Genomic DNA, 18434 nt, shown 5'->3' with positions numbered 1-18434 from the left:
TAAATAAACTGCTAGAAACCTATTATAACCAATAAGTGAGTTTAGCAAGTTTGCCAGATCAACAGACAAAAATTAATTGTGTTTTTAAACAATACAATGAACAATCCAAAAGTGAAATTAAATAATTCCACTCAAAATAGCATCAAAGTGAACAAAATATCTATAAGTATATTTGCTGAAAGAAGTGCAAAATGTATACTCTGAAAACTATGAAACATTGTGGAAATAAATTAAAGTTATAAATAAATAAATGGATGCATGTTTTATTTTTATGGTTTAGAAGACTTCACATTACTAAGATGTCCATATTCTCCAAACTGATCTACAGATTCAACACAATGCACATCAGAATCAGACAAGCTGATTCTGAAATTTACATGGAATTGTAAGGGATCCAGAATAGTCAAAACAATTCTGAAAAAGAAGAACAAAGGAAAAGGACTTAGACTTCCCAATATAAAAACTTACTACAAAGCAACAAAGTAATCAATTAATTAATACAAAGTGATCAAGACAGTGTGGTATTGGTACAAAGATAGACAGATCAATGGAATATAATTGAGAGTCCATAAATAAACTCTTACATATAAGATCAATGGACTTTAACAAAGATGATAAGACCATTCAATGGGGGAAAGAATAATCTTTTCAGCAACTGGTGGTGGGACAACTGGATAGTCACATGCAAAAAGAATGGAGTTGGTCCCCTACTTCACACTGTATGCACAAATTAACTAAAAAAAAATTGACCTAAATATAACAGCAAAAACTTTCATGCTTAGTAGAAAATATTGGGATAAATCTTGATGACCTTTGTATTTGGCTGAGGATTCTTAGCTATGACATCAAAACTATAAGCAACAAAAGGAAACATTGATAGAGTGAATTTCATCAAAACTAAAAACTTTTGTGCTTCAAAGGACATTAGCAAAAAGGTGAAAAGACAATCCACAGAATGGAAGAAAATATTTGCAAATCATGTATCTAAGGGACTCAAATCCAGAATATATAAAGAATGCTTACAATCAAATAATAAAAAAACAAATAACCCAATTAAAATAGGCAAAGGTTCTGAATAGACATTGCTCCATAGAAATACATAAATGGCTGATAAACACAGGAATAGATTCCCAGCATTATAAGTCATCAAGGAAATGAAAATTAAAACCACAATGAAATACCACTTCAGATTTATTAGAATGGCTGCAATCAAAGAGTCAGAAAACAAGTGTTGGAGAGGGTGTGGGGTGGTTGGAGTCCTCACACACTACTCATAGAACTGCAGAACAGTGCAGCCCCTTTGGAAATGATTACACATAGAGTTACCACATGACCTCCATTTCCACTCCTCAGTATATATCCAAGAGAAATAAAAAAATATCTCCACACACAAACTGCACTCAATGGGCTTAGAGCAGCATTATTCCTAGTAGCTAAAAAGTAGAAACAACTCAAATATTCATCAAAAAATAAATGGATAAACAAAACGAGGTCTGTCCATACAATGGAATATGGAATACATATGAACCATAGAAAGAAACTGAGCACTGACCTATGCCACGGCATGGATGGATCGTGAAAACACAGTGCCAAGCAAAAGAAGCCAGACACAAAGGCCACATGCTGGATGATTCCATTCACATGCAAGTCTAGAGTGTGGATGAATAGATGAGACATCAAGCAGATGAGTGATTGCCAGGGACTGGGGAGGGCTGAGGAGAGGGGATTGGGGATCATAGCTGGAGGGTACAGGGTTTCTTTTCTTTTCTTTTTTTTATTTTGAGACGGAGTCTCACTCTGTTCCCCAGGCTGGAGTGCAGTGGCGTGATCTCGGCTCACTGCAAGCTCTGCCTCCTGGGTTCATGCCATTCTCCTGCCTCAGCCTCCAGAGTAGCTGGGACTACAGGCGCCAGCCACCACGCCTGGCTAATTTTTTGTATTTTTAGTAGAGACGGGGTTTCACCGTATTAGCCAGGATGGTCTCGATCTCTTGACCTTGTGATCTGACCATCTCGGCCTCCCAAAGTGCTGGGATTACAGGAGTCAGCCACCGCACCAGGCCCAGCGTTTCTTTTTGAGGGGATGTGGTGTCCTAAAATTAACGATGGTGATGATTTACAAGTCTGTGAATATACTAAAAACTGCTAAATTGCATACCTAATATGGCTTCATTATGTGATATGTGAATAATATCTCAATCAAGCTGTTAAATAGAAACATATGGCTATGGAACACCAGGGAGCACACCGTCAGCTTGTTTGGACAAGAATCTTTCCAAGAAGTGATCCCTGCCTATTCTTACAGCAGCCTCTTGACTTTGGTTATCAACCTAATTTTAATGACTTTACCATGCATGGATCTAAATGTCAATTCTGCCCTCTTTGATTTCAAAGCAGCTTTGCACCCTTGCCCTCAGGAGCATGAGTTTTAATGGCCATGGCTCCAAGACTTCACATTTGGCTTTCCTTTGATGGATAAGAAATGCAGGAAGACAACACCCTTGACTGAGTTTGGCAAGAGTTGCCTGCTACCAGGAAGCCCCCTATCCTTCAAAGGGTGGGCTGGGGACTCTCGCTAGAGACCCATGAGGTGGACACCACGTACCTGAATTCACTGTCAGCAGCGTGGCGGTGCTTTTTGAAGGTAACTGAGTTCATCCTTCATATTTCCTGAAGAGTGTAATGGATTAGTTCCCTAATTTAATGGTTGGAATTCATTTCCTCAGCAGTCAGTTATACTTGACAAAGAATGAAATGACCAATTGAAAAGGACATGGGAGGAGAAGGTTTTAACTGTGGGCAGAGCCGGGCTCTGAGGCTACTGGATTCTACCTCAGGCAGCCTGAGCAGAGCTGAAAATGCTCATGTGTCTGGTGTGAGGACATGGGGAGTGTCTGTAAGGTGGGTGTAGCCTCACTGAAAACTCTGAAGGCCCTAGGTGAACCAGCAAGACATTTAGGTACATTAAGTACCCACTGTCTGAATGTCTTTGGATTTCTTGGCTTCTATTCACAGATTAAGAGTGTTATTTGCTTTTTTGAGGAATAGCCAGGCCATTTGAGACTGCACCATTTTACTTCCCCACAAGCAATGTGCAAGGGTCCAATCCCCATGTCCTCACCAACACCTCGAGCGGGTATTTACTGTCGCTGTCTTTGAAGTAAGACTGTGAGAGGCTGAATCTACAACTGATGGTGGATAGACCACGTTGTGAATGACAGAACTCTGACCCGCCTCTGCAGTGACTGGCCAGAATGGTCAGGACGTAGTCCTTTGTAGCCACCTGCTCTAGTTTGCCCTTGCTTCAGAGTTAGGACCAACCGGAGAAAGTCCAAAATGCTCCCTGAACTGCCACACAGGATGGCCTGCTTCTTGTTAGCTTAGCCAGCTTCAGCTTCCCCCAGGCAGCAACCTCCAAGCAGGGCTCACTTTGTTTCACCATAAGCCTTGCCCACTCACCTGCCTGTCTTTGAGTCTCTGCAAGTGAAACAACTGTGACTAATTTTCTTACTGTAGCAACCCTGAAAATACTGGCTCTGCTGTTCTCACCTGGGTGGCCTACATCTACCTCCATATTAGGAGGATGAGTAATATCGCCAACTCTACAGCCATGAAGGGTGAGGGGAATATGCACCCACTGTTTCTCTATCTCTCTCTAAACAACTCTGCAGATGTGGAGGGTGAGAGTAAGCTGTCCAATCTCTCTCACCAACTGTACAGCCATGGCAGGTGAGAGGAAGATGCGCCCATTCTTTCTCTTTCTCTCTGTCTCTCACCAGCCCTACAGTCATGGAGGGTGAGAGTAAGATGTCCTCTCTATCTCCTCTCTCTCTCACCAACTCTATAGACATGGAAGGTGAGAGTAACATGCCCACTCTCCTTCTCTGTCTCTCACCAACTCTACAGCCATGGTGGGTAGAGGAAGATGTACCCATTCTTTCTCTTTCTGTCTGTCTCTCACCAGCTCTACAGTCATGGAGGGTGAGAGTAAGATGTCCTCTCTATCTCCTTCTCTCTCTCCCACCAACTCTACAGACATGGAGGGTGAGAGTAACATGCCCATTCTCCTTCTCTCTCTCTCTTATCAACTCTACAGACATGGAGGGTGAGAGTAATATGCCCACTCTCCTTCTCTGTTTCTTTCATCAACTCTACAGCCATGGAGGGTAAGAGGAAGATGTGCCCATTCTTTCTCTTTCTCTCTCTCTCCAGCTCTACAGACATGGAGAGTGAGTGTAAGATGCCTTCTCTCTCTCTCTCTTTCTCTCTCTCTCTTTTTACCACCTCTACAGCGATGGCAGGTGAGAGTAAGGTGCACTTGCTCTCTCACTCTGTCTCTCCAATCTCTATTTTTTATTGAATTATTTGAAAATTAGTTATAGACATGCCAAAACCTTACCGCTTAATTCTGCATGAATCTCAAAAGATCAAGGACTTATCTTACATACCACAATACTGTAAACCAAAAATATATTTCTAAGTCTCCCCAACCATCTGAATGGACTTCCTCCTCAGCCAGGGCATGCTTATAATTTAACCTGAAAGACTGGTTCAGGTCATGAGGGGAAGTGGGGGTCAGACTTCTCGATTTAGGGTGCCTCATTTTACCTCTCCAGCACTAACATCAACACAGACTTTAAGTTCTATAAGAAACATTTTACAACCTATTTTCTCTGAAGCCTGCTGTTGAAGGCTTCCTCTGTAAATAAGAACTTTGGTCTCCACAATCCTTTATCTTAACCCAGACATCCCTTTCTATTGTTCCGAGGTCTTTAGATAAACTCAACCAATTGTCAACCAGAACATGTTTAAATCTACCTATGAGCTGGAAGTTCCCGCTTTGAGCTGCCTGCCTTGCTGGACCAAACCAATGTATTTCTTAAATGTATTTCATTGAAGTTTCATGTTTCCCTAAAATGTATAATACCAAGCTTCACCCTGACCACCTTGGGCACACGTATGTTCTCAGGATCTCCTGAGGGCTGTGTCGTGAGCCATGGTCACTCATACTTGGCTCAGAATAAATTTCTTCAAATATTTTAGAGTTTGACTCTTTTTGTCAACAATACAATAATCACCTGAAAAGAGCTTAACAATAATACAGTCATATTATGTCACACACGGTTCATGTTTAAATTTCCCAAGATGTTCCAGGAGTATTTCCGTAGCTATTTTTTAAAATCTAGAATCTGTGAAAGGAAAATATCTTGGGCGTCCAAAATCACTAATGAAACTCGAGCTCAAACTGCTTAGGGCAAACCTGCCTCCCACTCTGTTCAAAATTATGCCTCTGCTCACTGAGATAGAACCTCTTCTTTGGAGAGGCTCATCAGAAACTCAAAAGAATGTGACCATCTGTCTCTCACCTACCTGTAACCTGGAAGTCCCTCCCCACTTCCTGTCTTTCTGCCTTTGCTTCAAGCTTCCTGTCTTTCCTGATGGAACCAGTGTACTTCTTACATATATTGATTGATGTCTCATGTCTCCCTAAAATGTTTAAAACCAACCTGTGCCTGGCCACTTTGGGCACATGTCTTCAGGACTTCCTGAGGCTGTGTCACAGGCACGGCCTCCACCTTGGCAAAATAAACTTTCTAAATGAACTGAGACTTTGTCTCAGATTTTCTGGGTTCACAGATCAAATCAGTGATCACTCATTGCATTTTGCATTTTGCCTTTCTGTCTGTTTGCCTCTTTAATGTAGAGAAGCTCCTCCCTGTTTTATTTGAATTTCATGGCATTAATAGAATTGAAGAGTCCAGGTCCGCCTTATTTGTAGAATGACTCATGTTTTGAATTAGTCTGACTGTCCTTGTCTCCATTAAATTAACACTGAATGCTTTTGTGTGATCCCTCAGCACATGATAAAGTGATGTGTGTTTCCCCTGGTCCCACATCAGGAGGTGTGGAATCCCACTGTGTTTTATTATTGGTGATCACGTGGTTGACACAGGGACCCCCCCCTCCACCCCAGATGTCTCTGCTATAAAAGTTCTGTCTTTTGTAATTAACACGTACAAGTGTTATACATGGTGTTTATAACATTTGGAGTGATATTTTTTGGCCCTGTAAAAATTCTATTCCCCAAACATTTTCAATCTACTGGGTTTAACACATCTATTTGTTTTATTGATGTGGTTAGGCGTTTTACCCTAATCCATGCTGCATGTGTGTGTGTGTGCATGCATGTGAATCCATTTTAATTTTTGTTGAGTGAATTATCTGTTCTACATGGTGACAACTTGAGCTAAGACCAGAGTTGATCTACAGTTAATGGAATTGTCTATAAAGTGATAATGATAGCTACCCACTGCTTGTGTTTACGGCATATATTCCTCACAGCAACCATACAAAATAGAAGCTATTGTCTCCATTGTACAGGTGGGGAGAGCAGAACGCAGAGACGGGAAATGGCTTCCCGAGGCCCCGGGGCCATGGATGCACGGCACTGTCCCACCCAGCGGGCGGGTTCCAGGCCTGATTCTCCACACCTGTCCCACTGCTACAGCCTCTGGGTTATCAACTAGACACTACCAGTGAACATCTTTCCAAAAACGAAAAGGTGGTGGAAAACGTAAATTTTGTTTTGAGCAAAAGAAAGTGAAGCAGCTGAGGGGTTTTACAAAGATTGGAGAGTAGCATTCTGAGGAGGCATCCGAAAAAGACTAAAAATCCCTTCCCTCCTGACTCTACCCACTCCAAATGTTTTCTCTCCAGTTGTTTCTTACTTTGCCCTCTCAGTTCTCTTCATGAGGTTTACTTCTTGGGGATTAATAGATCAGCAACCAGTATGCTGATCGTAAGTCCAATAGCCATTTTGGAGTTTTCCCAGGCACTTGAGGAAGGGCTGAGGTAGGGAAATGTTGCTGCACTCAACAGAGTTTCAAACCAGGTGACTCCAGGCTTTTGGGAAAAAAATGTCTGATAAAATAGCAGAAATGAAATGAGCAGCAGATTAAACTCTGGGCTCCTCACAGTCCTCTTAAGGGGCAACATACCAGGGTCATCATTTTTTTTTTTATTTTTTTTGTCTTTGAGACAGAGTCTTGCTCTGTCGCCCGGGCTGGGGTGCAGTGGGATGATCTCAGCTCACTGCAACCTCTGTTTCCCGAGTTCAAGCGATTCTCCTGCCTCAGCCTCCCAAGTAGCTGGGATTACAGGCACCCACCACTGCACCTGGCTAATTTTTGTATTTTTAGTAGAGACAGGATTTTGTCATGTTAGCCGGGCTGGTCTCGAACCCCTGACCTCAGGTGATCCGCCCGCCTCAGCCTCCCAAAGTGCTGGAATTACAGGTGTGAGCCACTGCCCCCTGGCCTGTAACCACTTTAGAATGATAGACAAATTGACCACTGAGGAAACTTCCAGAAAATAATCTAGTGCAAAATAAAAGAGCTTGGGACAGAATGTGTTTGTGTTTTTATCATTGGTGGCCTGAGATATCAGAAAATGTAGTGTGTTGGACTAGGGGGAGTCTAATAAAAGGCCTTCATTTTGGTTCAGTACTGTGGTCTTCCTAGTATTAACTTTATCTTTTAATTTTTTGTATAACACTTAATTCAGCCCTCTTAAATATCTGAACTGGGCTGGTACAGTGGCTCATGCCTGTAATCCCAGCACTTTGGGAGGCCGAGGCAGGTGGATCAACTGAGGTCAGGAGTTTGAGACCAGCCTGACCAACATGATGAAACTAAAAATACAAAAAATTAGCTGGGTGTGGTGACACATGCCTGTAATCCCAGCTACTTGGCAGGCTGAGACAGGAGAATCACTTGAACTCAGGAGGCGGAGAGGTTGGAGTGAGCTGAGAACACACCACTGCACTCCAGTCTGGGCAACAGAGGGAGACTCTGTCTCAAAATAAATAAATAAATAAACCCGGCTGACTCTCTTTTTGGACTCAGCCTGCCTGCACCCAGGTGAAATAAACAGCCATGTTGCTCACGCAAAGCCTGTTTGGTGGTCTCTTCACACGGACACGTGAGACATTCGGTGCCGAAGACCTGGGTCAGTGGGACTCCTTCAGGAGACCAGTCCCCTGTCCTCACCCTCACTCCATGAAGAGATCCACCTATGACCTCAGGTCCTCAGACCAACCAGCCCAAGGAACAGCTCACCGATTTTAAATCGGGTAAGCGGCCTCTTTTTACTCTCTTTTCCAACCTCTCTCACTATCCCTCAACCTCTTTCTCCTTTCAATCTTGGCGCCACCCTTCAATCTCTCCCTTCTCTTAATTTCAATTCCTTTCATTTTCTGGTAGAGACAACGGAGACACATTTTATCCATTGACCCAAAACTCCGGTGCTGGTCACGGACTCAGGAAAGCAGCCTTCCCTTTGTGTTTAATCATTGTGGGGACGCCTCTCTGATTATTCACCCACGTTCCATTGGTGTCTGATCTCCGTGGGGAAGCCTGCCTTGGTCATTCACCCACGTTCCCTTGGTGGCAAGTCAACTGCAGGGATACCTGCCTTGGCTGCTCACCCACATTGCGGCCCAGGGCTGCTCCCCACCCCGCTTCTCCATGGCTCTACCCTTCCCTTTAAACTTGCCTCCTTCACTATGGGCAACCTTCCACCCTCCATTCCTCCTTCTTCTCCCTTAGCCTGTGTTCTCAAGAACTTAAAACCTCTTCAACTCTCGCCTGACGTAAAATCTAAGCATCTTATTTTCTTCTGCAACACCGCTTAGTCCCAATACAAACTCAACAGTAGTTTCAAGTGGCCAGAGAACGGCACTTTCGATTTGTCTATCCTACAAGATCTAAATAATTTTTATTGAAAAATGGGCAAATGGTCTGAGGTGCCTGATGTCCAGGCATTCTTTTACACATTGTTTCCTCCCTAGTCTCTGCTCCCAATGCGACTCATCCCAAATCTTTCTTCTTTCTCTCCTGTCTGTTCCTTCAGTCTCCACCCCAAGCTCTGAGTCCTTTAAATCCTTCTTTTCTACGGACTCATCTGACCTCCCCTTCTCCCCAGGCTGCTCCTCGCCAGGCCAAGCCAGGTCCCAATTCTTCCTCAGCCTCTGCCCCCCCACCCCATAATCTTTTTATCACCTCCCCTCCTCACCCGGTCTGGCTTACAGTTTCGTTCCGCGACTAGCTCTCCCCCACCTGCAAAGCAATTTCCTCTTAGAGAGGTGGCTGGAGCTAAAGGCATAGTCAAGCTTAGTGCTCATTTTTTCTTTATCCGACCTCTCCCATATCAGCTAGCATTTAGGCCCTTTTTCATCAAATATAAAAACCCAGCCCAGTCCATGGCCCGTTTGGCAACAACCCTTAGACATTTTACCTCCTTAGACCCATAGGGGTCAGAAGGCCGTCTTATTCTCAATATGCATTTTATTTTATTACCCAATCTGCTCCTGAGATTAAATAAAGCTCCAAAAATTAAATTCCGGCCCTCAAACCCCACAACAGGACTTAATTGTACACCTCACCTTCAAGGTGTACAATAATAGAGTAGAGGCAGCCAAGTAGCAATGTATTTCTGAGCTGCAATTGCTTGCCTCCACTGTGAGACAAACCCCAGCCACATCTCCAGCACACAAGAACTCCAAATGCCTGAACCGCAGCTGCCAGGGGTTCCTCCAGAACCTCCTTCCCCAGGAGCTTGCTACAAGTGGTGGAAATCTGGCCACTGGGCCAAGGAATGCCCGCAGCCTGGGATTCCTTCTAAGCCATGTCCCATCTGTGTGGGACCCCACTGAAAATCAGACTGTTCAGCTCACCTGGCAGCCACTCTCAGAGCCCCTGGAACTCTGGCCCAAGGCTCTCTGACTGACTCCTTCCCAGATCTTCTCATCTTAGCGGCTGAAGACTGACACTGCCCCATCACCTCGGAAGCCTCCTGGACCATCACGGATGCCGAGCTTCGGGTAACTCTTACAGTGGAGGTTAAGTCCGTCCCCTTCTTAATCAATATGGAGGCTACTCACTCCACATTACCTTATTTTCAAGGGCCTGTTTCCCTTGCCTCCATAACTGTCGTGGGTATTGACAGCCAGGCTTCTAAACCTCTTAAAACTCCCCAACTCTGGTGCCAACTTGGACAACATTCTTTTATGCACTCCTTTTCAGTTATCCCCACCTGCCTAGCTCCCTTATTATGTTGAGACATTTTCACTAAATTATCTGCTTCCCTGATTATTCCTGGGCTACAACCACACCTCAATTGCCATCTTTCTCCCCAGTTCAAAGCCTCCTTCACATCGTCTCCTTATATCTCCCCACCTTAATCCACAAGTATAGGATACCTCTACTCCCTCCTTGGCAACAGATAATGCACCCCTTACCATCCCATTAAAACTTAATCACCCTTACCCCGCTCAATGTCAATATCCCATCCTACAGCACTCTTCAAAAGGATTAAAGCCTGTTATCACTTGCCTGTTACAGCATGACCTTTTAAAGCCTATAAACTCTCCTTACAATTCCCCCATTTTACCTGTCCAAAAACCAGACAAGCCTTACAGGTTAGTTCAGGATCTGTGCCCTATAAATAAATAAACCCCTGAATTTACAGGATAAATCACCAATAAGTGAGACATATGCACCATCCTAAATGCTTACATCTCTCAATATCTCTGTATTGAGATAAATGCTTCTATCTCTGTATCAAATCAAAAAATAAGACCACATTTAACATATGAGCGTGCAAAGTGTGAGCTTGCAGAAGAATATTCCATGCCATATTTCTACTTTACAGGAGCACAGAGACAGGGTAAAACCACTCAAGAGATTTAAAAAATAAAATTCACAATGTAAAAAGGAGCATATGTTGGGCAAATGATAAAATACCAAGTCCGTCGGAATAGACTCTAAACAGCCTCAGATGATTGACAACACACTTCAAGAACAGAAAACTTGTTTTAGCTCAGTCATAGATATGTTCTGTGCTCCTAGAATCATAGCAATATGATGTGTCTCACCATTTGCAAGCTAAAGAATCTTGAAGAGCCCCCTGCTCCATGCAAAAGGGAGATTTACGAAGGGTCCCTTCAATTTTCTAAAGCGAGCCTGTATGAGATATAAAATAATCCTCTATGATGCCACAAGGCACGCTTTTGAATCAGAGGCCTCATATATCTCAGAAAGCACCAGCGAGCCTGCTGGATACAGGAACCGCTTGCTCTGTCAGGTGGAAGAAGTGGTGATCCAAAATAAACCTTAGAGTTTTCCTAAATGTAATTTCTAGAATGAGATTACGCTCCTTAGATTGCTTCTGATTTCTTCTGGGAAATCACTGAACCAGTGGAAAGGGATATCTAACCACATTCTTTTAGACCACAGGAAAGTAAAGAAGGAATTTTCTTCTGGACAGAGATTTGTTTTGGCTAACGTGCATATGAGCGTGCTGATTGAAAACACATTGAGAATCCACTCTTTTGTGTTTGGTATTATTATTCTGTATATATTGTGTTTGTCTTGTGATAAATATGTTCCATGTGTGTTAATTTTAACAAAAAACCTACCCTTTTTATTCATGACATTTGTTCTCTGTATTTATGGTTAGAGAATTTGTTAGTGAAATTTTAAAGAAATGATGCCCTATTTAGAAAAAAACAGGTGTTGATGACATGTTGAGGCATTTTCTTAATGACTTGAAATTGTGTAGTTCTTGAAATAAAGCATTGCACATCATCTGTTCCTTAGGCGTGTGTACTTAGTTTTTAGAGTATGCAAATGAATTACATATGTAAAAGTATTTAAAATATTTTAGGTAGCTGCTCTACATAAGATACATTGAACTCATGTTCGTTTAAATGTATTTTATTTTAAAACATCATGATAAGAAGTTTTGCTCTGTATTAACTTAATTTTATTTATACTTGATTTCTTGATTACGTAAAACACAACACAGCCCCTCAGAAATGCACCAAGAAAGGGAGTCAGGAAGGATGAAAACGCTTTGCCGCTTAGCAAGGCCTCTCTGCATTAAAAGATTAGAGAAACTCAGGGTCAGCTCGGTCAGTGAGAGGTCTGTGGTTGTGATTTGTTTTTTGGCTCACTTGGCTGGGCAGTTCTTGGTGGTCCTGAGGGGTGCGTGGCTCACCCAGGCTGCGCGTGTGGCTCCAGCTCCGTCCCCTATTCCAGGCTGGAGGCTTCCTTCTCGCATGAGCTTCCTTCCGGTGGCGGAAGGAAACGCCGGGGAGGGCATACCAACTGCCTATCCTTAAATATTGCAATCCAAAGGAGAGACTCTCATTCTTGGCGTTTTCGCCTCAATTATCCCGGTTGATTTCCACTGGTCCTGCTTGGGTCATTGCCCCGCCCTGAGGAAGTCACCAGGCACGACGATCAGCCAGAGCTGTGTTCTCTGGATGGGTGGTTAGGGGGTGCTGGGATGGGCAGCTCAGGGCAAGAGGGTTTCATTTCCAAAAGACGGAAAGAAGGGAGGCTGCAGACCCACGGCACTGAGACCCCCCAAAGCTGCCTTTCTGGAAGCGGGCTGGAATTGAGCACGGAGCATGAGATAGATGTTTGAGTGAGAATCAACTAGTCTTTTGCAGACTAATAGATATCTTTGAACTAAGGATAACACTTGCTAGGGCTTGCTCTTTCAAAAGCCACATGGAGCAACCCTTTTGTACGGTAGGTGCTAACAGGCATCCGGAAGGTCTCATATGCTGGCCTCAAGTGTGATTAGCAGAGATTTATGAGCATGTTAAATAAAAGTAGACTCAATATTAAATCATTTGGGACCATGAATCGGAGGTGTTTTACATTTTTTAAGGAAGGAAAATGTCACCTAGATTAAATATTAACAGTAGCATACCACAACAGTTGGGGTTGGAGGCATTTCTCTGGTTCTTATACTTTGGGGACCTTTAATCCTTGTCTCTGCTTTTGAGCACCTCTGACCCTTTCCAGCACACATCTTCTGCTGTTACCTTTGCCATTTCATTGCATTTTCTCAGTAGGTTTGGAGAAACATAACTAAGATTTAAGAGATTAAATAAAATACCTCCTGTGTGGCTACCTGGCCTCTTGCTTCACTTTAGAGAACTGCCTAGGATTCCCTGTAGCCATTTATGTTTAGAATGCTGCCCCCAATGGCCAAAAACTGGGAAAGAGCCCTTTTTTTTTTGTCGAAATTTGAAATTTGGAATATTGAACAATCCTATCCTTAGCTGAGGCGAGAGGGGTTCTCATCTTAAGCATCGAGTCTTAAAAAGCCCAAGTATGGCACTCATGCTGTTCCCGGAGCAAACTGAGGGTCAGGGTATTTCTCGCAGCCCAATAACGAGATGCAGTTGAACTGGGGAGGAAGAGAGTTTTTATTTTCTGCAACTGGTTACAAGGAGAAGGCCTGGAAATTATCGCCAGACCAACTCAAAATTACAAAGTTTTCCAGAGCTTATTTACCTTCTGAGCTCTATGTCTATGAGTAAGTGTGCATTCATCCAAAGACATAAGTGATTAACTTCTTCTAGTCTATAACTAAGGTCTTAGTCCCGAATACCTTCCTCTGGAACCTCAGTAAATTTACGTCATCTAAATGGGTCTAGGTGCTGGGGTAATTACCCTTATCTTGTCTCCTGATAAATCACGGAGGTTTGGGGAATTTCTTCAGACCCCCAATAAGCTCATCTGTGGAGGCCTGGGGAGTTTCTTCAGACCCACAATAAAACTTGTTTAACCCTAAATGGCCCTGTTAAAAATTCCTTTGTTATTTTGTCGTGCTTTAAGGCCCAGGAAAGGCCTAGGCAAAACTCTTGGTGGGCTTTTTTACGTTCCAGACTTTGTATGAGGGCACTGGCTTTTAATCTTTAACTTCACTACCCAGTCAGTACTAAAACAGTTGTTACGGAGGCCTGGCCTGCCACAATGCCACACATACACGCAAAACATACATGTGCACACACATGCACGTGCACACACACATTCAGTCCAGAACACAGCTCACTCAGAATTGCTGCTTTGCTCTCGTCTAAACATTACAACTGCAACCATAAATATTTGCCCTCCTAGCCAACAATGCTCAGGTCTAAGGAAAATACAGTCGACCCTCATTATCTGTGAATTCTGTATTCGCAAATTTGCATATTCACTAAAGTTAATTTGCAATCTTCAAATCAATACTTACAGTACTTCTGCAGGTGTTCTCGGATAGCCACAGGTCAGCAAACATTTGTGTCACCTGAAACGCATGATGTTCTGTGTTCTTGTTTCAGCTCTCATAATATGAACAAGTCTTCTTTACATCATCTATTTAGTGCCATGTGGGTTTTTTTTTTTTTTTACAGAGTCTTGCTCTCTCACCCAGGCTGGAGTGCAGTGGCGCAATCTCAGCTCACTGCAACCTCTGCCTCCCTGGTTCAAGTAATTCTGCCACAGCCTCCAGAGTAGGTGGGATTACAGGCATGCACCATCTCATCTGGCTGATTTTTATATTTTTAACAGAGATGGGGTTTCACCATATTGGCCAGGCTGGTCTCAAACTCCTGACCTCAAGTGATCCACCTGCCTCGGCCTCCCAAAGTGCTGGGATTACAGGCGTGATCCACCGCGCCCGGCCTGTGTTTCGTTTGTTTGTTTTGCATTTTTATGCTTTTTTTTGGTGATTTTGCTGTTTTCACTGTGGCCACTGGACATAATGGTGAAGTGCTGTCCAGTACTCCTAAGCACAGAGGCCGGGATGTGTCTCATGGAGAAAGGACAAGGGTTTGAGAAGCTTTGTTCAGGTGTGAGTTATATTACAGTGCGGTTGGCTGTAAGTTCAATGTGAATATATGCTCAATAAGGTGTCTTTAAACAGAAAAACACACAAAGTGCAGTACTGATTGCTTGATGAAAATGTTGTGACCTGAGTCTCACAGCCCTGGATTTCCCCTAGGAGCGGGGGTTCCGTGTTTGCCAATTCTGTGCTTGCAGTGACTTTATAAAACATGACTACCATGGATAGCGAGAATGGACTGTGTGTCACACCTCCTCTTAAGACTTTTAAATGAAAGGCAACTGTGCCCAAATGCCAGGAAGCTTAGTGGGTTCTGGTTCTGTATATATTGGTGCTAGACCATGTTTCAGTGTGGAGAGTGGAGCTGGAGAAATGCTTAGGTAAGAGAAACGGCAAAGTAATTAACTTGTCAAGTCCTTCGTCACATGTAGCTGAATACAAAGGACTCTTGTAATGAAAAATGTCATTTCCCAGCAGGGTACATTGTCCATTTTCTTGCTTCTCTTCCTGTTGCCTTTGCACATGGTGACTGTCCTTACAGTGCAATTGCAAACAATCCATACTATTGCTAAGTTTACAGATATGTAGGTCTAAACATGACATAGGTGAGACATGGGAGTCTCTACACTGCCAATGAGGTGAACCTGAACACTAGAATAGTTTTACTTTTATAAAATTATTTACTAAGATTTTTTTAATGAAAGAAAATTTAAAAATTAGCACTGCTTAACTTTATTTTTAAATTCTGTATTCATTGATTGGAGTTGGTATTTTCTTTTTAATTATAATAATTTTAAATGTTTAAAAGAAAAGTAACTTTTTAAAAAGCATATTTAAAAATAATTTCAACTCTTTTCATATATTTATGCTTGAATTTTCATTTTGATAAGAATACAATCAACTTGGCATACTCTGCATATGAAGTCATTTTATCTTTAATCTTTTACATGACTACTGGCAAATAGAACATGAATTATATTAAAAGTTGGTTATAATGAGATAATTGGCTATTTTGCTGAAATGAAGGGAAGAATAACTTTTTCAAAAAGCATGCAAACATTTATAAATTATTTATATATTTTATTATGCATCCAAACCTTGATGGACCTTTAACAGAACACCTAGATATGTGCACAAATAGACTGCCTTTAGTAATTTGTCAACCTCCAGTTATAGAAAAGTCACAGCTTTGAGATATATCTCAAAAAGTATCCATCTAGGGCACTCCATTCTTTGTGGCATATTAGCTATATTAGCTAAAGTTTGTTTTTGGGTATCTGACACACAGTGCATGAGCCTCTCTTTCTCCTCTCACTCAGGGTCCCCTGAATGCAGGGACAGGAGGATTGATCCAGAAACACCTGCTCACCTCCTCAGCACCAGCCTACTTTCCTCTCTTCCATTTCTGGAGTTTTTAAACTTGCTTTCTGATGATATGTTGTAAAATCTAAAAAGCTCCCATCAACTAGGAAAAGACTGGTTGTTCAATAACTTGATAAGAAACAGCTGCAGCACAAGTTTTAAACCCAGCCCACTGGCCAATGAGAATGGTGGCTGTGAGCACATACCTGCAAGCCAGCCAATTAGTGTCAGCCCTCGCTCTGGAAATCAGCCAATCAGGGCTAAGCACTTCTGCAACTGTGCTCCTGAGAGCCAATCACAGTGCTGTGCCGGCAGACGGTGTCAGCAGATGATGTAACTCTCCTGCCTCTAAGAGTCCCCAGCCTTGAGCTCCAGGTGCCCCAATCCCTATCTGAGATCAATACCTTACTCTCTTCAGGGATGCTATGGCTGCTAGGAGAGCCATCTCCTTTAGTGTAGGAAGCAGTGAATCCAGCTCTGTCTGTGTATTCTGGGTAGTGTGTTGGTCATCATCCTTGACTGTGCCCTGCCTCAGTCTCCACACCTCCACTTGTGCCCCACAAACACTGAGTGGGCTCCTGCTGCCTCTGTAGAAAACGGGGGTATATGATCTGGCAGTTGCTCAGTACAATCTTCCAACTGAAAGCTTGAAGAAACCCAAGGCTTTTCAAAGGCAGTCCTTACATATCACCCATGGGATGGTGAGTGAGGGGGACCAGCACCTCCCTTGGGGACTTAGATTCTATCGGGCAGAGACAGTGAGGAAGTGTGAGGAGGACCCAGGGTCACCTTCCAAGGGACCTGGAGGGTGGCAGAATCCAGCAGGCACCAGGGACTGGGATCAGAGAAGAATGTCCTGGCTGGAGGACAAGGTCAGGAGCCTTTGTGATGGCCCCAGTGATGTCTTCTCTTGACATCCACACTCTCATTTAGTCCCTGCCCCCATCACCAGTGAGGGTTGGTCTGTGCAGCCAATAGAGTATGGGAGGAAAGACAGTGTGTTTCCGGAGAGGTGCTGCCAGGGCTGTGGTCCGTTCTGGCTCTTCCTGGCTGTCTGCTGCTCTCTCTCTCCCTCTCTTTTTGTGTCTGTCTCTCTCTCAGGATGTGTTTGCCTCTCTCTCAGGATGTCTCTGTCTCTCTCTGTCTTTCTGTTTCTGTCTCTCAGGATGTCTCTATCTCTCTCTCAGTCTTTCTGTCTCTGTCTCTCTCTCAGTCTTTCTGTCTCTGTCAATCTCTCAGTCTCTCCCTTCTAGTTGTGCCTCTCCATCTTTTTCTATCCATATCCCTCCACCTCCATAACTTGCTCTGGGGAGAACCTGCTGCCCTGTCCAGCGGCCCCATGGAGTGCCCTGCAGAGAGGCTGACGCCCAGTCCCCAGCCTCCTCCCCATCATTGGAACTCTCCTTCTGCTTCTTCTTCCCTCGAGCAATGTGCTCTTTGGCTTGGTTTTAAAGACAGAATATTTGTAGAAGATAATTTTGGAGGATGAAAAACTGTCAACCAAACATTTTACAACTGTTGTCCTGATGGCGGCTGCACGCGGGGCTCTGCAGTTTGACAGGCTGGAACCTACTGCAGCACTGGGAAGGCCTTGCGGAGGGAGCACTGTGCCAGGAGCATGGCTGGGACGCTGCTCTGTCATTCCATGTGGACTGGGAGTGGCAGGGAAGAGGAGGACAGAGTGAAAGACTTGCACACGTAGAGAAAGCCTCCACTGACTGAAGGTTTGATTAGATGGGCAGCAGTCAGATTTTTGACTAAATTCTCTCCAGGGGAATGGCTGTCAGGCTGGAAGATTGGTGTCAAATAAGCAAGGAAAGCCCATTGAGAATGAAACGCTAATGAAGTAAAGATAGCCATCGAACGCTACTAGGGCCAGGGTGTCACAGAGCCTCTTTCGATGGCTTTTCCCAAGTGGAGGGAAAAGGAACATTTCCAGGGATGCTGCCTCCAGCCCTGCTGACTCCCCTGTCACCAGACCGAGTCATAGCATCGCCCAGCCTCCAAGGCCAGATGCAGATTGAAGCTGCACTCTGCAGAGCTCGGGAGGGACATGGGGGCCCAGGACACATGGACTAGATGGCCTGCGGTCAAATGAAAAAGAGGGAGGCATGGGGGGCACAGGGAGGGAAGTTCTGCTGGGCCTGCTGACCCTCGACCTGGCCTGTGGCATCTGTGAGCCAGGAGCAGGGAGGGTCCTAGCACAGGCCTGTGTGCCCGCATCAGGGACAGTTGGTCCTGCAGTTCAGTGCAGGCAAGGAGCTCATACCTTAGCACACACAACCAGAAAGAAGGGTGGGGGAGAGAGAGAGAGAAAGAGAGAATAGAGAGAGAAAGAGAGACATAGAGAGAGAGAGGAACAGAGAGAGAGAGGAAGAGAGAAAGAGAGAG

This window comes from Homo sapiens, chromosome 10 (genome assembly GCF_000001405.40).
Source record: "Homo sapiens chromosome 10, GRCh38.p14 Primary Assembly".
Lineage (NCBI taxonomy): Eukaryota > Metazoa > Chordata > Mammalia > Primates > Hominidae > Homo > Homo sapiens.
Note: the sequence above shows the minus strand (reverse complement) of the source record.